The sequence below is a fragment of the Homo sapiens genome, chromosome 20 (assembly GCF_000001405.40).
Source record: "Homo sapiens chromosome 20, GRCh38.p14 Primary Assembly".
NCBI lineage: Eukaryota > Metazoa > Chordata > Mammalia > Primates > Hominidae > Homo > Homo sapiens.
In genome coordinates, this window is record NC_000020.11 from 11904446 (window position 1) to 11927638 (window position 23193).

Here is a 23193-nt window from a genome sequence, read left to right on the forward strand (position 1 = left end):
AATGTGGATGGGGACACAAATCCAAACCATATCAAAAGCCTCTAGAGGCTTACAATTACGCTTACGATAAAATCCAAACTTCTTATGAAGCTGGGCATCAGCTTTTCTCATACGTTTTGGTTTTGGGACCTTTTTATACTCTTAATTATTTTCAAAAGCCCAGAAAACTTGTTTATAGGGGTCATATCTATTAATATACTTTTGTCAAAATTTAAAAAATTAAGTATTTATTTAAAAATAATTGTTTTCATTGAAGCATATGAAGAAAATCTGGCCTCAAACAGATGTATAGCTGGAAAAGAATATTTTAATAGCATTTTCAGATGATTGTGGATATTTGATACCTCACCAAAGCTTCATAAGTAGTAGTTTCTTAAAGGTTAATTGCCATGTGGAATCTAAAACCATATCGATGAACGTTTTGTACTCTTGTTATACTTTAAATCCATTGGTCGACCATTGTACTTTGGATCTTTTACCAATGCATGATTTTGTATTGTAATTGCATTCTTATTAGAAAAGGTTGGTTCACTGAGTTATGCAAATCTTTCAAGTGTTGACACATTTCATTATACAGTATCAAAAATCATGTTCATTTAATATCACTGCTCTTATAAGAACAGTCTTTTGAGTATTGGGAAGCTGTCAGGCTCATGGTGGTGTAATCAAGGTTTCCAAATTCTAATTTTTGCTTGAAGCCTTGAATTTTATTATCAGCAATAAATACTGTCAGTTTTCCTTGCAGTGACAGGCTCACTTCATTCATTTTTGAGAAAATGTCTGCCAGATACCTTAGTCTGAATAAGCATACTTTGCTGCTTCTGTCAAGTAACAATGGCATTTCAAGAAAAAAGCTGCTGGTTTGACTTGTAACACAAATAGTTGTACACGTGTTTTTTCTCAAGGAAACCATTCTATTTCAATTTGACCAGAAATGCTTTGTGCATACTTCCCAATTTCATGACGTAGAATATTTTAAAAGTGTTTACTCAACAGCTGAAGTTTAATAAAATCAATAATTTTTACTATTGCATCTCCCAGAGATTCCCCATGAAACAATACATTGATTATAGCAAAGGGGAATGCACAATAGCTATTTTGCACTTAGCCAGGCCGTTTTACCGCTATGCGTAAATAAATCCCCCATCATTCAGGTGTGGGTGAGGAGGACTGCGGAAAAGTAAGGTGACTTTACTGCTCCTTTGGCACTGTTCACTTTTGCTTAGTCACTGGAGTGACCTTCAGATGGCTTAGAAACCAGCAGCATCAATAGTAATAAAAGTTACAGAGCCAGACTATGGAGCCATTTTTATCTTTTTTAGTTCCTGGTGAAACTCTTGCCTTTTCTGTTAGGAGCAAATGATCCCTTCCATTGTGGCCTTTGTTCTGCATCACCACTAGCAGATGTTGCTGGGAGGTTGCAGAGAGATTTGGTCACTTGTTCTACTTACTTTCTTAACCAGTGCAAGTCAGAACTGCTTAAAAGGCTTCATACTTTTAAGTCATATACACATTGAACAACAGGCACACATGGAATGAATTTACCTCACCCTGCCTTCTAAGAAATATACTTTTATGGCCAGTGAATTCGTTATTGAAAAATTTGAGCAGATTTATTTATTTATTTATTTTGGCCAACACAAATCTCAAAACTATGACTTTACATTTTCAACACTCTTAATGGTTTTTAAAATCATTGCTGGTGGTAAAGGTTCCATAAACACACCGGCCCAGCAAGATACTTTCCAGTTTTGGCCAAAAATAAGTTATTCCACTACTGATACCATAATTTCCATTTATTATTACTCCTTTTTTTTTTTTTTTTTTTTTTTTTTTTGAGACGGAGTCTCGTTCTGTAGCCCAGGGTGGAGTGCAATGGTGTTATCGGTGCTCACTGCAACCTCTGCCTCCCAGGCTCAAGTATTCTCCTGCCTCAGCCTCTCAAGTAGCTGGGATTACAGGCACATGCCACCACACCTGGCTAATTTTTGTATTTGTAGTAGAGATGGGGTTTCACCATGTTGGACAGTCTGTTCTTGAACTCCTGACCTCAGGTGATCCACCCAGCTAGGCCTCCCAAAGTGCTAGGATTACAGGCGTGAGCCACCATACCCGGCCTGTTACTTCAATGTTGTAAGGGAATATATAGATGGAAGTTGAGAATTCTTTATTTTTTGTAAAAAAGTCAAACACCTGATTACTTGCCTGATTCTTCTTAGTGAAGTGAGACAGAGACTCATGCATGTAAGCAGTATACTTTTCTACTTGTGCTTTTGCTCTGCAGTAATCTGAAATGAGACATCGCCCATCTTAGAATTGTGGTTTATTTGCAGGGGAGGCATGCATTTTCCTACTGCCCTATACACACAAGCCTATTTTATTACTTTGTTTGAAGACTGGGTGTGTCTAATGTAGTGGAAATTCATCGATTCAGTGTTAAGTACAGGTGAAACACATTTCAGGACCACATTAGACAGTCTTTTTAATTATCCTTTTTTTTGGATTATTCATGTGACTGCTTTCCTCTTTTCACGTGAATTGCTGAGAATTTATCATCCTTTCCAGTTCATTAAATCATTAAAATTCTTTACTAGCACTATAAATAAATATGCCAGGCCATGAGTTGAGGCCGGTTGATAAAGGCAGCTTTGTCCTGGTAATAGTTCTTGTTCCTGGTTAACCCACACTTCTCTGTGAATATGTGTATTACATTAAATTTTAGACTTTTAATGTAGTGAAGCCTTACTCTAAGCATGTAGGGACTTGCTTTAAGTTGAGCTTTGGTGTTTACAGTTGGATTAGCTGTGAGATTAATGTGGTATTATAATACTGCATTTGTGCTTAGACATGTTCAGGAGAGCCCCAGGACACATTTAATAGGTATTCAGGTTCTTTTCCACTCTACCTAGTCTAAGCTTGCATCTCAGTCAACTAGAAACACTGTAGATCTTAGTTTCAGACCATTTTGGTCTAGGACCAGTTGCACCCCACAAGTGTGATCTGGAGTTCTAATTGGACTTGGAAGTGTTGGGCTTTAACCTCCTCTTGTGTAACCATTGAAAGCCAGGTGCATGGGCATGGCACTGTTGCAGATATGGAGATGCAGTCCTCAGAGAAAGCACACTTTAATCAGGCAACATAAGGCAAGATAGAATGTGAGAAAGTACTGCATTTGGGCATGATGAGTCTGGAAGCACCAGGAAACCTTCCTTGCTTAGGTATCCTTTGGACTGCGTCTTGAAGGATGGGTGGGTAGGCTTTTTATACGTAGGGTTGTACAGAAGAAAGGGCAGTGAGGATGGCAGGAAGCAATGGACCCATTTGTAGTGTGGGAATAGTCTGGTTTGCAGGGTGGGTGAATGAAGAGGATGAGTCAAAAGATCTAATTGGGAATTGAGCCAGGTCATGGAGATCCAAAATGCATTGCAAGCCATGCTTCCTCTCACTGGGAAAGGTGAGACAGAATTTCTTCCCTTCTTCCGGGGCGGATGCTTGTTTGCACTTCTCTGGTATGTGAGAGAGACCTTCCTCAATTTAGATGATAGCCCCTTAGGGAAGAGCATTATAGAGTAAAGATTTGACCACATGCCTCTTTTTGTCTCATTTTTGATGCTATATTTTAAATTTTACAAGAGTGTTACTTCAGTCAAATACTGACATCACCCAGGTCTCCTATACGGAACTCTTAGTAGAAATTATGGCATCTCCGCAGATGACAAGTAAAATCCTTATGCAGAGAGACCTGACTCAGATGTAAATTGTGATCACCATTTTCAGAGATTGTCCTTCCTTGGTCTGGTTCCAGTCATCATCACCTTGGATCTTGTATGAGTTCATATCTCTGTTAACTATGGTGGAGTGGTTGCTTCTCTGTGGTTTTTTTTTTTTTTTTTTAAATAAGGTACTGACAGTTGAGTTGCCACTCTTTGAAGATGTATTTTGACTTTAATGTTTTTAATCTGTTTATTATGGTTAAAGTTCCTATGTATTATAAATGCTGTCCTCCCTATTGTTATGTGATGCAGAGACTGGAGAAACTCAAATTTAAGAACATGTTTTCATGAATAGTCCCCACTTTAAGTGAGACTTATTTTAGCATTATTTCATGAGCAATTAGATTATTTTACTCTAAATCTCTGGGCAGTTCAAGTACTGACCTACTTATATAGTAGCTCTTAATTAAAAAAATAATTATTTTTATTTTAGAGAATATTAGAGAATTGAATTTTTTTTGAAATACTCTATTTTCTTAGTTCTAATACATGTGATAAAGCTAGGTATGGAACCTCAATTTTTATTCTGATTATAATAGCATGAGAGGTTGAAGCAACAAAGAAGTGCTTTATCAGTGTCGAATTATTATTTCCTGCAGCAAATGGTGGTAGTTTGTGAATGTTACTTGGTGTTATTATATTTAAGGTTATACCAACATTTAAAGTATACTGTGCCTTTCTATTGTGTACTTCACAACAGTTGATGGGGATTGTATACTTTTAAGCTAATTAAAAGTAGCATAAAACGGCCAGGCGCGGTGGCTCATGCCTGTAATTCCAGTACTTTGGGAGGCCTAGGCGGGTGGATCACATGAGGTCAGGAGTTCGGGTGGATCACATGAGGTCGGGAGTTTGAGACCAGCCTGACCAACATGGTGAAACCCCGTCTCTACTAAAAATACAAACTTAGCCCGGTGTGGTGGCGCATTCCTGTAATCTCAGGTATTTGGGAAGTTGAGGCAGGAGAATTGCCTGAACCCTGGAGGCGGAGGTTGCAGTGAGCTGAGATTGTGCCATTGTGCTCCAGCCTGGGCAACAAGGGCGAAACCCCCTGTCAAAAAAAAAAAAAAAAGTAGCATAAAATGTATCTTTTAATTTGGTTCTAGAAGAGCTTTTACTGTGAGTTTTTGCCAGAAACTGGTTTCTGTAATAATGCTCTGTTACAGCCTTCTAATTCTACTTGAATTTTTTGTTAGGGAATATTATTGTTATTTATTTTAGAAATGTAGGTGCCTTTTTTCATTTTTATTTGGTGGTATCTACTCGAGAGAAGGTATGTTAGAAATTGAGTGTTAAGCTACTTTGTAACTTCATGTATGTTTAAGTTTTCCCACAGCAAGATTTCTCAGATTTCACTCAGCATAGCAGACCTCTTAATGTTAGATCTTGTATTGTTTGCCCAAAATAACTATATTTCATTCTGGTCGCATACATTGTAAAACAAAGGATAGCATTTCATTAAATAGTAATTAATTGAGACCTTCTGGATATGTGTATAGTGTTTGTCAAAATGTGAAATTGTAACTGGTCTTTTCTATGTGGTTTTGCAAAACAAAACAAAACAAAACAAAACAACAAAATAAAAAGCTTTTTCTGGCCTTGCCTTTCCCAACCTGTCCTGTTCATTTTACAGTGAGCACAATTTAAAATCTAAGATAATTGATATAATTCAGGTGTTTGGTGTTGATGGCGGGGAGGCAGTAAATTGAAGGACAGGAGAGCAGTGTTTATTTCTAAGCACTGAGTGACTAAAGGTATAGAACTTAGTTGTGGATGTTGGGGAAATTTGGCTGTGATACTTGGAACCTCACTAATAATCAGGACTGATGTAGAATATCTGGTGATTTGGGAGTTGTCTGGATTCTTTCTTCCCGTCCCATGTGTTCTTGGAAAAGGTGTTTTTCCCAAATAGAACAAGATACTCTTTGGTTAATATGTGAGAGAAGCTTTTGGACTTTGATGATCTGATGGAGGAGATGTTCTTGGTGACTATCTTTCGAATATCAGAAAAAAAAACAAAAAAAACTAATACTAGCCAAAGTAAAACATATCTTTGGAAACACTTTCCTTTTTCTTTGACCGAAACATATTATTTTCTTCTTCTGTTATTTAAAGCCAACAAATGACCTGGAGAAAGCCACAGCAATGGTTGGGTGAGGTTGTTCCATTCCAGCATTCCCAGTAGGATTGATTGAAGTCCTTTGTTGGAACAGCCCCATTCAGGCCTTTTTGAAAGGGACCTCCTGAGCCTTGATTTTACTTTTCTTTGGATAGACTATTTTCAAGTACCTAGTAGAAAGTCATATATATATATTGGGATCATTGTATTATGATAATGTTTCTCTCTCTTAAGCTAACATTTTAATATGGATTCTATTTGTTTGAAAGTAAGCAATATCTTCTAATGAGTCATTTAGCTCCATATTTAACCTATGTATAAAGTAGTTGTAAGTTAATAAATCTTGAATTGATTGATAAAATATCTTTAGCAAATATTACCCAGAGAGTTACAGGCTTATACTGATCAGTTTTATGTACATTTTATGTACAATTGTGTGGCATGAGAAAATACTAGAAATGCATTATATTAATGCTGGAACTCTTACCAGTCCTGGCAATGCAAATTCTCATTTTGAGATTTCCATCTAGATATTCTACCATATCAATGGTTGTCATAGTAGCAGTCTCAATTGAGAATTGTGATTATATACTTTATCAAATAACTACTTGATGAAAGCTCAATTATTCTAATGTAGTTCAGCCAGAATTCTGAGCCATCATCTTGCCTGGTTAAGGAAATAATTAAGCAACCTAAAAAAAAGATTTCTTTCTTTCTGTTGAATTGTACAAATTTTACCGTATTTCACTGACTGTAGGGTGCCATCAGGTGTAAGACATGCCATTACTTTATGTACTGCTAAGAAAGGAAAAAAAAAAGCCTAATAGTTACACTCATGAGATGGCATCAATTAAAAGACACAAACCAGTTTCAGAGATGTTAAAGTGGCGAGGGTGGGGGAGGCACAAGGAATCTACAGTCCATAAAATATGGCACTTACATATGTACACAGAGTTTTAGTTGGGTATTGGTCATAATCATATTAAAATGTAAAGAAAATTATATTAAGTAAATAACTATTTCTGGCAAATATTATACAGATTTTTTAAATCCTAGAAACCTATAATTGGAAAAGATAGGCGATCATGTAGTCAATACACCTGAGGAAATGTACCATGAGATCATCTAGAGCAGAGTTGTCTAACCTTTTGGCTTCCCTGGGCCATGTTGGAAGAATTGTCTTGAGCCACACATAAAGTATGCTAACACTAAGGATAGCCCATGAGCTAAAAAAATTGCAGAAAAAAAAAATCTCATAATGTTTTAAGAAAGGTGGCGAATTTGTTTGAGGCTGCATTCAAAGCCATCCTAGGCCTCTTGCAGGGCCGCAGGTTGGACAAACTTGATCTAGAGTATGTAAAACTTAGCAATTGGTTGCCTTTTTTTATTGAAGTATCTTCAACTTTACAAAAGAAATTATAATATTCCTTTAAATAGCCATCTTCAGAGTATCTCCTGGTAAACTTTATATACCCCTTTTCAAGATCACTTAATGTATGGAAGAGAATAATTTGGGATTTAGATGAGTAGTTTAGTATTCCAAACAAGGTGCACACTGAGACACAGTGTGTATGTAAGAGCTATAATCGTCAAATGTCATGGTAAGTGCCATATGGAATTTTAAAAAGAATCATCGTTCCCTGCCTTCTAAGAATTACCACATTCTACCTTTGGGCATTCCTCCCCACCCCCCGCTCACCCCAAATCTAAAGTACAATTCAAGGTTAACTGGAGCTCTGTGTGGTGAAAAGGTGGCTTAATGAAACTGACCATGAACCTTATACTGTGGACAGCACTGAGGTATGCCTTGGCCAAATACTTGGCCTTAGTTATCAACCTTGGTGCTGGAATTCAAACTGGGTCATTGTCGAGAGAGGCCAAATTGAGTTGCTAGTGAGATATGGCTGGGTGGCTAGATGGGCTCCTTGCAGGAGGCTGTCTCAGGAAGTGGGCACAGCAGTGAATCAGCCAACAGGTGGCCTCATGGAGGTTTGAAGTCCACAATGGGCACCCAGCCTGAAGTGTGGGTTCAAGTGCAGGTTTGGAAATAACACTGTGGGATTTGGACATTGGGTGTGGACCGGATCACAGTGCACAGCACAAATCTTGCTTATTATTGAACCTTCCCTGCAAAATCAGATTCACAGCAAAATGGGACCTGCTTGGCCCATAGGTGGGGCTAGAGGAAGCCTGCAGATAGGATGAAATGTCAGTAGCTGTGCAGTCTGAAAAGAGTACAAGGATGAGGAGCTAGATTAATCTTTGAGATTTTGTGTTTTAGATGATTGCATCACAAACGTTTCCTGCTTTGGGCACAATTGCTGCTAATGGTGAGAACTTACCTTTGTAGACTGTTTTTAACTAAAGTGCTTTCACAAAACATATAATCTTGCCTTCACAATAAACCTGAGGGAGAAGCTGGGTCTAATTACCCCATTTGGCAGATGTGGAAAATGAGGCTCACAAATACTGACCTTAAGGTCACTTGTTGTTAGCTCTTGCTTTTTTAGCTATGCTATGCTTCCAGCGCTTGACTCCATATTTATTTCCAAATTTAGAAAGCATATATAGTCTGTTTTCCAGCAGCTTCTGCTGACTTTGGGGACTGCCAACATTTTGTTGCTTATCTTTTTACCTCCCAAATCAAAAGCATAATTTTTGCTCAGTATTGAAGGGACAAATAAGCAAAAACAAAACACTATTCCCTCATAACTTACCAGATTAAACTACTCTCCTCTGTTAGGTTATGTTAATCATTTTTGGAAGTGATAGGTATTTCTTCAGTCTACCTTACCTTGTTTAAACCTCTGTTAACCTCACTGCTGTTGCTTTTTAGCGGCCTTGTAGTAAACCATGTACAAGTCCAGACAAGGAGTCCAGAGTTAGAGCAAGTTAAACAAGAGTTGCCAGCATTATTAGTTGTTGACATAGAAGTTGGTGTTAACCGTGAATAGCTGGTTTCTAACTTTATTTTACCTGGAGAGCCTCTTCTGTTTTTGAGCAGCGTCCTCACTGCAGTTCCTTCCTTCCATCTCATTCCACAAGTATCCTTTCAGCATTCTTGCCTGTAGTGTGCCCCTACAGGGGTGCAGACTACATATGTTCATGGTTTTCATCTTTGTAAACTTTAAAAGAAAGCTCTTCTTTTAAAGTAGATTAGAAATATGACAATTGAGCATTCTGTAAGTGTGTGAGGTAATTACTGTGAGTGAATATTAGAGTGAATGAAGCAAACAACATGACAAGCCAGGAGATCCGCCTCGTAGTCCAGGTGTTGCCCCACTTCTTTACTGTGGAATTTTCACAAACCCCTTATACTTCTGACACCAGTTGCCATACCTGTGAAAAAAGAGTTGCATTAAATGATTTCTGGAGTCCCGTTCAGTTTCAAACCTCATTCAGGTCTGCAAAGTGAATATGTCAGATTGTATTAAATAAAGGTAGGATTGCTGACAAACCTTCCAGTGGTGAAAAGGATGATCTAAGTGAGCTTAAATTCTGTGGATAATTTTGTTATTATTGGGAATTGAATGGAAATAGGTTAACAGTGATTCAGCTTTCTGGCAATTATAAAATCAACTGAAACACACTATTATTAGCTAACTTTTTAAGTTTGGTTTCTAGTCTTGCTCACCGCCGTATGCCCAACACCTAATACACTGCATAGTCAGTATGTTTTATTTTGGGAATACTTTCATACAAACTTGATGGACTTCTTGGCCTATTTACCTCATTAGGGCAGACAGCTCTAAAATTCAGGAAGTGTAGAAACAAGTGATAAAATGCCTATTGGAAAGAAATTTTAGGAGTAAAATGTAGCAGTAGACATCAGGCTGCTATCCTTTTTTACCCTTCAACCCAGTGGGTGATGTTTCTGGGTTACAGACTCAACAGATGGAGTTTTAACTATTTATGTTTAATCAAGGAGGAAAAGAAGCCATAATTTGTATTTAATGTAGTAGACTATAGAAATGAAAGAATAAAGTGATACCAAAATTTTGTATATTCAAATCAATCTTATAGTTTTATAACATTTTAACCCTAACATTTTATTGTATTTTGGGTTGCAATTACTCATGGCAGATGAAAGCCATGGCTTCTCTTTCTAGAAAAATAAATGCACACATACTGCCAATTTCACCGACAGCTTGAGGAGTTTCATGAACTTGCCATCATCTGGTGGTCCCTAGTCTGAATTCTTGATAGAAAATAACCTAGTATGTTCATGTATACATATGTAACTAACCTGCACATTGTGCACATGTACACTAAAACTTAAAGTATAATAATAATAAAATAAAAAAAAAAGAAAAGAACCTAGTGTGTTAAACCTTAAATGCCCTTAGAAATAACCTAGACCAGTGTTTCTTAAACTGTGGTCATGAGATCAGTTGAATGGATTATGACCAACATTGAAAAGAAAAGAAGAAAGAAGAAAATAGAAAATATCAGAGTGTATATCATAACATGCTAAGAGTAGGTTTTGTTTTTTGAGCCATGTCTTTCCATTTGTATGCCTGTATGTGTGTTTATGTTTAGTACTAAGTCAGAATATAAAATGCATTTCTTACTGTGGATTGAGTGTAAAGTTTGAAAAACATTCATTCTGGGTGAATCTCTTTCATCTTATAGCTGAGGAAAACTGAGGCCCTTAAAGGCTAAATGATTTGTTCAAATACTCGCCTTTCTCTATTTTAAGTGGCCCAGCCAGGACTGAACTAGATTGGTTGCTAATTTTACCATGCTACATTGCTAATTTGTTGAAATACAATTGTGAAGTAGACCATTTAAAAGTACTAAGTGATTATCTGCTTCATAGTTGACATTTTTTAATTCCTTATTTTTCCTGCCGAAATCATCACTGTCATTATCTTTTAAAATAATTGGGGCTGGCGCTTCCTTTCCAGAGAATATCTTGGTCCCTCTCAGTTGGCTGTCTGCACACCTCAATCCTAGAATTTGACATTTGGGGCCTAATCAGAAGAATTTCAGAACAAGATGTGAGGGGTTGTTAAGTTTTTAATGTCCAAACTAAATTAAATTATTTTGAGTTATTTTCAATTCACTTAATAGTTGAATGCAACATATGGCACCAGATGTTGGTACTGGATCATTGGGAAGACATCTAGTAGTCAGTAGTTATCTATGTGAAGTTTTTTTCAACCTTGAATACTGTATGAAATGCAGATTCTGATCCAGAGTCTGGCTGAGATTCTGGGTGACTAATAGGCTCCCTGTAGATGCTGCTGCTGATCCTTCAACTACATTTTCAGTAGCAAGAACCTGCATTACTTGCCTTATTACCGTGGTAAGAAAAAGTAGCCGTCAGATAATTTTTCTGTCTTGATTTTAAACAGCCATGCTCATCAGTCCTTACATACATTGGAGTAATAATGCCCTTCTTTGTAGCACTCTTGTAGATGATTCAGATTTAGCGCTACTTCATTTAACTAGTATTGTCAGAATTTTCTACAAAACTTATTTTTCTAAATAACTGATATCTGTAATTTTAGAAAACATGTTCTACAATATTGCATACTTCTCTTTCTCAAACTGTTACATCCACTTTACTTTTTTTCTTTAACTTAGTGGTGTAAGAGCCATGTGTTTTGGAGACTTCTTGGTGATGGGTATTGAGCCATATGCAAAATGAGTAAAGATCACAAACCCTTCTAAGTTCTTGTATCTGTGTTTTATGTTTTTTCTATTTTGTCTCCATCCAGCTACCAATTAATAGTATGTCTGCCTAAAAGCAGCTGGTTTCCCTTTCCATTCTAATTGATTACTTCTGACCTGAAAAGCCAGATACTAGATTTGTTAGAAATATTTATGAGATTAATCCCAGTCAGAAAGGCCTACCTGGCATGGGAGCTTTCCTGCAAGGAAGTGGTCAAGGAAGTTCAGTGGCACTTGAGCAAGAGAGAAATCCTTTAGTGTTAACCCTATTCTGAATAATTAGGTCAATAGGAGCTTACTTGTTTCTTCATGACTTTCTCTATGTGCTTTTTAAACTGGTTTCTAGATCCCTCTCTAACATTGTGTGTTAAAGTGTGTATGAAGATGATTTGGAGGTATCTGTATGTGTGTGTTCTGCTGTTGAGAACATGATAATCATAATAAATAAGCAGTGCTTCAGGATCCATCTAAAATGGAGACAGGTAACTGTGCTACAGGCCCTGGTTCTCTTACAGAGGCTTTGCAAATGGTTTTAAGAATAATAATAACAACAATAAAGAGGATATTTCTTGGTTCAATTTAGTGTTCTAGGGATTTAAAGACTGATTTCTGGTAACCGCCTTTAGCAGATTATTAATTATAACAATAACAATCGTAACTCTTATTTGCTGAGCCCTCACTGTGTCAGGTAGTCATTATTCAGACAAATGTTAAAACAAGGAGGGCTGTGGTCATGAAGGGTGCATTTGCCTGAGGGGTAGCAAATGGCTGCTGTGCTTTGAACAAATGAGCGTGATCCAAATAGATAGGGGTGAGATTAAATATTTTAATTAGTCCCTCTTTACAATAAATAAGCATATGCAGAACCTATTGCCGGTGTTTTTGTTTTTTTTACTCACCAACGCTAGAAATGGTTGGAGGATTCACACCTACAAAAATCAAATGGTAGCTTATATTCTTCTAATTCAAAGCAGAGAGAACCTGTTTGCATTTTAACTAGGTGGAATCCGAACATTTATCATTTTGAATAGCCTTGTTATTTGTTCTGTCTTAGAAGTTGTGGATTATATTCTTTAAAATTAAGACAAGACTAAATGTAGCCTTAACAGTTAAGTTGAATTTTGAGATCCTGAACATGGCCCCATCTGAAATATTTTTAGTGAATTACAGCCTTTGAACATTGATCATCAGATTTGTTTTTATTTGAATCTTATTTTTACTTCTAGAGTTTATCTTATGCTTTAGTGTACTTAGGTGTACGGGTATAATCTTAATCTAATTAACAGTATTTTGTGACCTGAGACACCTGTCAAAGACCATTATAGAAGCTAGAAAACATTGGGAGGTAAACTGAACACATGGCCTCAGTTCTCTTCTTTAGCACTAGACTATGACTTGCACTCAAAAGAGGCTAAGAAAAAGAAAAATAACGTCCTTTGCCTTTAAAGTGTAATAAATGTGTTTTGCTATTAATAGCCCTTTTCAGTTTATAGACTGGAGGATTTTGTTTTAAGTATTTGAAACTAAATGCTGCTGGGAAAAAGATTTTAGTAGAAATATAGATATCTGTCCCTACCCTTTGTTAATTGATCCTGCTTAACTGGGGACATAATGTATGTCTACTGAAGAGAAATCTGTGGGCATAAACTCCTCCCTTCCTGTTGTCAAATATATTTCATATGTTATTATCTTGTTTAAATATACAGTAGACAAGAAAATGCAACTGCTGTTCCTTTAATATCAGAACTATGCATGTTACAATAGGTGTCACTGTTTTGCTTGGTCCAATCATGATTGGTGACTTCAGCTATTGGCTCGGAGCACTGGCTGTCTGACTCCATCTGCAGGGCTGTAATACCTACTCTCCTCCGATCCATTCACCACACAACTTCAGCCGGCTGAACAGACTCACGCAGCTCCAGCCCATCTTGCTGACCTAATTCAGAAAAGAAGTGCTACAGCTCTGTGCCTGTCATCTTTGCAGTGTAGCATTTTCAGGTGATCTAGGAAACAGTTATTTTTATGAGCAAATAAGAGAAACAGGAATCATGATGGGGATATATTTAACAGACCCAGTACTGGATAAAACTTAAAGCCAGTTTCTATTCAACATAGTGAAAAGGTCACCTTGCCTGGCTGAGAAAAGCAGCAAAATATCAGCTTTGTTGGTTTCAGTTAACCTCTTAGCCCGGGCTAATCTCTTTTCCTTGATGTTCAAACCAATTTGGGATATCTAACTCTAAAGAGAGACACACTGTACTCATGGTAGATGACAAGGAAAAGAACATGAAATGTCTCACCTTCTTCTTGATGCTTCCAGAGACGGTAAAGAACAGGTCCAAGAAAAGCTCAAAGAAAGCAAATACCAGCAGCAGCAGTAGCAACAGCAGCAAGTTGCCACCAGTTTGTTATGAAATAATTACCTTGAAGACTAAAAAGAAGAAGATGGCTGCTGATATATTCCCCCGTAAAAAGCCAGCCAACTCCAGCAGCACCAGCGTCCAGCAGTACCACCAGCAGAATCTCAGTAACAACAACCTTATCCCGGCCCCAAACTGGCAGGGTCTTTATCCCACCATTAGAGAGAGGTAAGTGCCGCGCTAGTCTATTTACTTTAAAAGTTTTCCTGTGTTGAAGTTTCTGCTTTTGCAAAACCTGTAATGTATTTGAACACAAATCTGTTTCCTCTTTTCCCAGAAGCTTTTTATTGGTAATGGAAAATTGCCTTGTATCTTTTCCAAAACAGTACAGCTGTTTTCCTCTTAGATAAAAATGTTTTTGCAAGCTGTAACATTCAAGTGACAGGGTTGTCTATGGGCCATAGAAAATGGGAACCTTTTATTTGTCCTTAGCTTTATTAAAAGTTTGTATAACTTTTATTTTAAACTTTAGTTACTTCCCTTATGTTTGCAATGATTATGAACAGTTTAGTTAGAACCTTTATTTGTTGTTTTGCCTTGAAGTTACTGGACTGTTGCTTAGCTTGCAAGTCTTTTGTGGGTTTTGTATGTTGGGGAAGGGGATGTTAAAAATGCAGGCTGCTGTGAATTAATGAGTTGCCTCTGTTTATAGAAATGCGATGATGTTCAATAATGATTTGATGGCAGATGTACATTTTGTGGTTGGGCCACCAGGTGGGACTCAACGGTTGCCAGGACACAAAGTAAGCAACAGCTGCATGACCGGTTTAGTCCTGACGTTTACAAAGAGGGACCCTTTCCATAAGCCTGTAACTTGGTGTGGGCAGCTTGCCGATGTCAGGCAGTGCATGTTTCACTCGATTAGGGAGAGAGCGCACCCTCTCCAGAGGGCTTTGGCCACGCTTAATTTTTTCTTTGTTTCCTTCTATACTGCTTTATATCTCACACATCCCCTCTTAACTCTCCAGACATGGGAAGTTGTTGTGACAGGTCAGGAAAGTCGTATGTTTACCCTTCTCCTAGAAATTAGTTATGTAAGCTATTATTGTATGTATTTAGTAATGAGGGGACATGTGCATTAATCTCTTAAAGCTTTGAAATAATTAGCAGCATGGTCTTATGCTTCCATGGCAAGCTACCCTGTGTACCTTGGCTTTTTCAAAGCAGTAGATTTTAGGTACGCTATGTTTACTAAACCTGATTGCCTAGTGTTGTTTTTCTGCATTGATTTGCTGGAAATGCCTTCAATTTAGTGTATGAAATAAGATTTCCCTTTCTACACAGTATGTTTTAGCTGTTGGGAGCTCTGTGTTCCATGCGATGTTTTACGGAGAACTTGCAGAGGACAAAGATGAAATCCGTATACCAGATGTCGAACCTGCTGCTTTTCTCGCTATGCTGAAGTAAGCATCATTCGTGTGTTTGGAAAGAGTTTGTTTATGCTGTATTTGTACCCTGCTGGTTTCACAGTTAAATTTAAGTTCTGCATAACAGAAAAGAAGACTGATGAAGAAAGAGGGTGCTGCTTACCTTGTAAATGTTTTCGGAAAAGAACACTTTAGCTTTCCGTGGAAAGCATATGGAATTATGCAGCATTTATAATCGCACCTTGACGTAGAATTTGGGAGCAAGTGGCATGTATAGTGATGATTTTTAACAACTTAAAATTAAAGACAAATAACTTTCTGGTATTAGCATTATTTAATAGAAGATGTTCTCTCTGAAAGCATTGTGTGTGAAAAAGTCTTTAAACAAATGTTTTTGCTTCACAATTTCAGAAGTTAAGTACCTTATTTAAGTAACACCAGTTGGGAGATTTCTGAGTATTCTAAGAGTTATTGTCTCCTAAGAGCAAATGAAAAACTTACCATCTGTTGAAATAATCTGATCTTTGTGTACACATACATATACATACTCATATAAAATCAGACACTCTCAAGGGTAAAAAGTACTTGCATTTGACATTACAGGGGAAATCTTAGAAAGATATGGATAGTCTCGTACAGTTTCATGTGGATTTATACAGAAGAACTTTCATTGGTAATACAGAAGTATGAAACTTAAAGATACGTTATATATTTATAAAAAAGATAGTTTTCTGTCTGGTGGGTCTTCTGCAGGCACCAGTATGTGTTAAACAGGTTATAGAATCAGCTTCTTTATCATGTACGGTACTAGACAGTGTGGTAGTTCACCAAGTGATCATAATCTAATTATTATTCTAAGTAGTATTTATATGATTTTTCCTAATCTTTATTCTAGCACAGCAAAGTGTATTACTTTAAGGTTATCTGTTGCTCTAGGGATTTCAGTTCATTGGAATAAGTAAAATGTTTGTTGAAAAAAGTATTCAGTGGGTCAACAAGTTGGACAGTACTCCTACATATAGTTAAAATGTTGCCATACATTGTTTACTGTCTTCTGAAAAATAAGTACTGTAGTTAGTTCTAGAACTTAAAAGTATTTAATTCATTATTCATCTTACAGTTTTGAAATATAATTGTCACTGACAAGACCTTCACAGTAGGGGATAGGGAAATTAAAGGCAAGTGAGCATGTGAAGTACCAAAATGTAAACTAATCTGCTACTTTTAACCTTTGTAATCTTTTGGAGATATATGTACAGAAACCAGTTTTACCTGCAAGTATCCCCACTGCATGAAGTCAGCTTTGTATTTTTTATAGTGTTTTCTGTTGCTGAGGAGATTGCTAGCACTAGTTCAGCATTTTGTCTTCACTGCAGTCAAGTAGGATGTTGTATCATTCCTGATATATACATAATTAGGAAACATGAACAAGAATGGCAGAGAATTACATCTCACCTAAGTCATTTGATGAATCATTTGACAAGTATCTTTTCCCACAGATGCATTGCCTATAGCAGATATTGATAAAGCTTTATAAAATTATACATGCAGTCCACAAAATGTGGTAAGATCAGAAATGAGTCAGGTGCCATTTGCTCTAGTGCTGTAGTTGTGAAAGCGGTGGCCTGCTTCATCGAGTATGAGTAGCCAGTATTCCTGGGGTTGTCAGAAAAAGAGGACAGCTGCTCCCTTGACAGTTCCAGGGTAAGAGCTCGAAAGTGCTGACCATGCTCTAGGATCCTCCCCAGGGTCCTGGCTCACAGTCAGAGCATCACTGAGCCGCAGGTGTACTATCAAGTGGCCTTGCCATCAGTAGGTGACTTCGCCTATCAGAGAAGAGAAAGGTTCCTGTGAGCAAAAAGGCAGGTTTCATTTGTGCTCGTGGACATTTTTCTCATTGCCATTCTTGTGTTTTACTTTCTTATAGAAGCTGTTGCTAATTTCTTAAGTTTTATGTGTTTCACTAAGGTGAAATACAATAACTAAAGGAAAACTCAAGATAAAGTAGCTGTAGACCTTAGGTAGAAGAGAAGCAGATGATGACTACCTTTACGTGCCTCTTTGGGAGACTGCCACTGTCTCCCAAAAAGTGTATCCTGTGAAGTGTTTTATATCCTGAAATAAGGACAGTTCACAGAAGCACAGGAATAATACATATTTAAGCTTTCCTACTTTGTCTTTTAATTAAATATATCTGGAAATAATGTAATCTTGAATTCTGAAGGTAGAAGGAATGTGTGGAGAAGGAAGAGTTTTGAGTTTAAAAAACAAAAACAAATAAAAAGTCTGTTGGATTCTATGTAAAGTTAACTGGACGATAGCATTGCAGTCCATACTTTTGATAATCCATTGAACTTGGAACTATTTGGAAAATATTAATCTCAGGTTTTATTTTGTGCTTAGGAAAACTCCAAAAGCATGAAGATGCAATAATTGCTCTTAAAACATAACGAGACTATTCTTGGTTAAATATAATGTAGTATATATAATAGAATTTTGCTATTTTTTTGTAATGTTGACTATTCAATATGCAGTTGTTTTTCAGTTTCAATAGCTTCTGTTTTGTTGAGATGACACTGAATGCAGCTTATAAAATAGAGGCTAGAATGGTAGCACAAAGTTAATATCTTTAATTATACAAACTTTACTACTGGGTTAAAATATTAATAATTTATTAATATGTTTCGAATGTTCCTTTACTCTGCAAATATGTTTGTATTAACTGTCACATAAGATGATGTTCTCAGAACAAACTTGAAAGTGGTTGTATCTTTTCTTGCTGGATGTACTCATTTTGTGAAAATTCCACTTACATGTTATGTGCTTTTTACAGATATATCTATTGTGATGAAATTGACTTGGCTGCTGACACAGTGCTGGCCACACTTTATGCTGCCAAAAAGTACATTGTCCCTCACCTTGCCAGAGCCTGTGTTAATTTCCTGGAGACCAGCCTGAGTGCCAAGAATGCCTGTGTGCTCCTCTCCCAGAGCTGCCTGTTCGAGGAGCCAGACCTGACCCAGCGTTGCTGGGAGGTGATTGATGCCCAGGCTGAGTTAGCTCTCAAGTCTGAGGGATTCTGCGATATTGACTTCCAGACACTAGAAAGTATTCTCCGTAGGGAAACTCTGAATGCCAAAGAAATTGTGGTTTTTGAGGCAGCTCTCAACTGGGCTGAAGTAGAATGCCAACGACAAGATCTGGCGTTGAGCATTGAAAATAAACGCAAGGTTCTAGGAAAGGCACTTTACTTGATCCGCATACCCACAATGGCCCTCGATGATTTTGCAAATGGTGCTGCACAGTCCGGGGTATTAACTCTCAATGAGACCAACGACATCTTCCTCTGGTATACTGCAGCCAAAAAGCCTGAGCTTCAGTTTGTGAGTAAAGCCCGTAAGGGCCTTGTCCCCCAGCGCTGTCACCGTTTCCAGTCGTGTGCCTATCGAAGCAACCAATGGCGCTATCGTGGTCGCTGTGACAGCATCCAGTTTGCAGTTGATAAAAGAGTGTTCATTGCTGGCTTTGGGCTGTATGGCTCCAGCTGTGGTTCTGCAGAATACAGTGCCAAGATTGAACTTAAGCGGCAGGGCGTTGTCCTGGGGCAGAACTTGAGCAAGTACTTCTCAGATGGGTCCAGCAATACCTTTCCCGTATGGTTTGAATACCCAGTGCAGATCGAGCCAGACACCTTCTACACAGCCAGTGTGATACTGGATGGCAATGAACTCAGCTACTTTGGACAAGAAGGCATGACAGAAGTTCAGTGTGGCAAAGTGACTGTCCAGTTTCAGTGCTCCTCAGATAGCACCAATGGCACTGGGGTACAGGGAGGGCAGATCCCTGAACTTATATTCTATGCTTGAAAACTCACTTCCTGAAGCAGCTTGAGCTCCAAAGTGCACATCTGGTTCCAACTTGCCTGATGCTTAGCTCATCTGCAAATATGTGATCAGTGCCGGTAATTTGTAATGAATGAAGCGGTAGGCAGGTTCTAATTTCTTTTAACCTTTTAATTATGTACAGGCAAAAATGCAGCATTCCGCTTTTAACTATCTGCTTAAAAGAGCTAACGTTCTTATTAAGGCTTTGTGGTTTTTAGAGTTGCATCTATGAACCTGGGGAGATTATGTGCTTTCCCAAGCGTTCCACCACCCTCTCAGTTTTGTCCCTCTGAAGATAATTTTGGATCACCTTGAATTTCCTTTTGGACGTTATTTGATGAACAGAAATAAAGTGATAACAAGAGTTATTTTTAAACAGAACTCCTCTTACCCCCCAAAACAGATAAACCTCAGTGTACAATTTTGAAAGAAGTTTTGCCTTGTAATGAGTAATAATTTAGAAAGTAGACAGTGGTTGTGTTTGGCTCTCGTTTTATTCCTTTTACATTTGTTGCTTCTGGGATTTAAAAAATTACTAAATTCATAAGATAGTTAGGTATTAAACACTTCAGAATATCAATGTAAAATTGGAAAATAAGGAACTGGGGGCATTTGTTTAGGCCATGACTTCTACAAGCAGATTTCTTTTCTTTTAGTTTAGAAGACAAAAAATTTCAATACAGATACTTCTTTTAGAAGTAAATTTTTAGATTTTATTGTCAGTAGAAAAAAGTTAAACTCCTACTAATTTAAACTAAGACAGTTTAAAAAGGAAGCCTGAAAAAGACTCATACTACAAATAATTTAATTGATGGCATATAAGAATATGCAGTTTGAAAAAGCCAAACTCTTCTCTCCACTTAGCTTTTGATCCCCACTGTTTGCTTATTTGTATAAGTCATACTGTGTAGAATTTCTATTTTCTTTTTCCCCATTAAAAGAGGACCAAACAATTCTTTATACAAATGGAGTAGCAACTAGTTTTGTAGCACTACATTTAATGTAATGAGATACCTTTGTTCATTTTTTTAAATTTGAAATATACTTTACCTGATCCACTTTGATTGTATACTATATTCTTTGTTAATTTTAATTTTGTCCTGTTCCTAGACTGCTAGAATCTGGCCCCTGGCCATCTTAAAGTGCCAACATATGCCTGCAGGGTTTATAAAAAATGGCCTGGAGTGACACATTTTATTATACCTAATATTCACTGCATCAGTATCACATCTAGCTCCCTTACTTGTCCACAGATAATGTAAACAAAGGAGGGAAAAACTTATTAAATTCTCCTTCGCTGCTGGCTTGTGCTGGTTTAGTGCCTGTGTCCCTGGCAGTGTCCAGTGTGTTCACTTCCAGTTGAAGTATCCATGTGTTTCTGGGCAGCTTTTCTGCTCAGTGTGATCCTGAGATGGCTTCCCCGCCGCCACCCAGAGTGTGGTCCTTGGCCGCCTCCTGCTCCTGCTCTGCAAGCCTGAAACTGGCTTGTCTGGAGCCAGGAGTTAGTCCTGGGGTGTGTGTGTGCCTGCGCACCCATGCGCATGCAAGTGTGTTTGCCAGCTCAGGAGCTGTCTCCTCTCTACCTGGCTAGTAAGAGGTGGGACAGTAATGGTCCTCCTGCTGGCCCCAGCAAGGCCCATGAGTGACTGCCCTGACGTATTCACTGTGCCTCTGGGCCACTTCTTCCCCTGTAGATGTGGGCTTGTTGCCTTCAGCCGGCTTCCCTGAGGGAGGAGAACACTGGATTATTGGAAATGTTTTAATCACTCTTGCCATTACCTACATCTATTAGCATAGATGATGAAAAGCTGTTACTGGTGATTATAGATGAGTATTTCCAGGACAACGTTCTAAAAGTACAATTATTTCTTATTGGGGAGATTACAGGTAGTTTGGCAAAGCATTGAAGTACAAAGGTACATTTTCAATTAAAAAGCACACTTCTACAAAAGATTTGGTTTTTAAATTATGGTTACACATTTCAGTAACTCATAGCTGCTGTGCAAATTGGTAGACCTTATAAGAAGGCACTTGTTTGTAAGCCAGAGAAGAAACTTTAATTGCATCCTATCAGATTGTTGAGGTGGGTGTGATAGTCTTCAGGTGCAGTGCGTTCATTCACTAACGCTCACTGTCAGTGCCCATGTTTGCTAGCTGCCTCCATGTGACTAGTGAGCTGCTGGTGAAAGTCGTGTGAAATCCTGTACACTGTGTATAGAATAATGTAATTTTATGTTAATTGTTATTACTTTAAAACATATCTACCATCTGATTGGCTGGTACCGAGAGCTGTGGGTAAAATTTGAAAATTGTATTTAGAATAAGAAATTTTACATTTTAAACCCTATTGTCCTTTATGCATTTTCAATGAAATGGAATGAAGGCTAATATGCTTGCTTTATTTACTTTTGTAATCTTGGATTTTGTAGCTTTTAAAACTAGAAACCATTGTTCTAACAAAGCAGGCAACTTTATTCTATAAACACAACTTTATTAAGCAGAATACACTGTAGATGCTTTTCCCCAACGTATCTGGCTGGCAGTCTTTGTCGTTGTTCATTCTGGGGATAAAGGGGAACTAGGCTAGCAGTTCTAATGTGACATTCTTTAAGCATATCTTAAAATAGTATTTAAGTAAATGGTCTAATTTCTACATAATTATTGCACTGAACTTTTTTGTTTATTAAGGTGTTTAAATAAGCTCAGCTAATTCAAGACACTGTAGCCACTTGTGCATCAGTGTGCTTGAATTTAGTAGCTTACAGCATTATTTATGAAGGAAAAAATACATAAATATGAAGTACCTCATGTTGAATGTTATTGTACTGTATTTTTAATGTAACAGTGCAGATCTTGTTAGACACATGAATGTGTATAATCATGTTAAATGCAAATAAAACTAGTTCATAGATTTGTTTTCCTTTAGTGCTTTTGTCACACCCTTGAGATAGTAAAAAATTCATGCTGGCACTTTTGATGCCCACTACGTTTTGCAGAGATGGTTTCGCAGAGGCATTTGTTAGCTAAGTGTTCAGATATCTTTGATCCCTAAAGAAGTAAAAATTTGAGGCAAAAGGATAACAGAACAATGAATGTGTTAATCACTTGCATTGTTCAAAGCCTGACTGTTAATGAGAGGGAATGAATGGATGCATTTATATTTCTATTATGGAATTCGTGGTTGGCCGGTATTCTGAAGCTATAGTTGCTCAAATGTCTGGATCTTCCTGTGCTAAGGGGGGTGTTGATACTGAATGACATCTGGCTTCTGATATGACCAATGCTGCTTTTTCCTTTGTTACAGTAGCTTAAGTCTAGGAATTTAAAAAATGGCACGTAAGAATTTTGAATATAGTTTTTATGTGCTCAACTAGTTTTCCATTATATTTCTTTATATCAAGTATTTATATACACACATCCACATAATCATACATAATTATGAACATACACTTCTTTTTTCTGCAGTTTCTGATGCTTTTCTACTGCAGTTTAGTGTGAAACCCTGTATATTTGCTTAACCGCTTCATCTACTCGGGATTCAGTTTCCATAGCATACTTGCCCAGAGGAGTTTTGGAATTACTCCAAAGAACAAAGGCACTGGAACTCCCCACTCTCATCAGTTTAATCACAGTTACAACCTGAGTTGTAAGATCTTTAATCCCGGAATGCCTTAGCCATTATCTCATCTTTGTTGCCACTTAATCCATATATGTTTATTTTCATTATTCCAAGACAATTGGGAACGATCCTCCTTCATTGTTGGGACTTGGGATCTACGTGTCGAGGAAAGTACACTGTCTTCTCAGTCGACTCTATAACTTGCCTGTGAAAGCCATGGGCTTACACTTGGAAGAAAACAGGAAGGAGAAAAGCATTTCTGAGGACCTAAACGGTATAAAATGTGGAGGCCAAAACAAGCAAGTTGCCCTGAAAACCTGTGGTTAAGTGTTTAT

General features: G+C 37.6%; 1 protein-coding gene and 1 long non-coding RNA gene across 16 annotated transcripts in view, besides 2 other annotated features; one reads left to right on the forward strand and one right to left on the reverse strand.

The window, feature by feature from the left end:
• The window catches only part of BTBD3 (BTB domain containing 3), a 35779-nt gene extending 13629 nt beyond the window's left edge, over positions 1-22150 (forward strand). For 3 of the 15 annotated variants that reach the window (NM_001395005.1, NM_001395006.1, XM_047440013.1), the window contains exons 2-5: positions 13333-14156; positions 14641-14731; positions 15273-15391; positions 18189-22150. In NM_001395005.1, the coding sequence (NP_001381934.1) occupies positions 13831-14156; positions 14641-14731; positions 15273-15391; positions 18189-19221 (1569 nt within the window). In that variant the 5' untranslated portion in view covers positions 13333-13830 and the 3' untranslated portion in view covers positions 19222-22150. Of the gene's footprint in view, positions 1-13332; positions 14157-14640; positions 14732-15272; positions 15392-18188 lie in introns of those variants that run through there. The other 12 variants (NM_181443.4, NM_001282550.3, XM_047440014.1 and 9 more) reach the window with 9 other exon arrangements.
• On the reverse strand, positions 4959-14156 carry BTBD3-AS1 (BTBD3 antisense RNA 1). Its single transcript, NR_186407.1, has 3 exons — positions 13869-14156; positions 8869-9231; positions 4959-6062 (listed from the first exon to the last, which is right to left on the reverse strand). It is a non-coding gene; the product is annotated as a BTBD3 antisense RNA 1 (long non-coding RNA).
• Positions 20227-20727: an enhancer, noted in NCBI's record as "H3K4me1 hESC enhancer chr20:11905320-11905820 (GRCh37/hg19 assembly coordinates)". NCBI's record gives its function as "activates a minimal SCP1, AML or CMV promoter by ChIP-STARR-seq in naive H9 embryonic stem cells {active_cell/tissue: H9 hESC(naive)}" and the evidence as "EXISTENCE:reporter gene assay evidence [ECO:0000049][PMID:30033119]".
• Positions 20728-21228: an enhancer, noted in NCBI's record as "H3K4me1 hESC enhancer chr20:11905821-11906321 (GRCh37/hg19 assembly coordinates)". NCBI's record gives its function as "activates a minimal SCP1, AML or CMV promoter by ChIP-STARR-seq in naive H9 embryonic stem cells {active_cell/tissue: H9 hESC(naive)}" and the evidence as "EXISTENCE:reporter gene assay evidence [ECO:0000049][PMID:30033119]".
• Positions 22151-23193: the final 1043 nt, after the last annotated feature.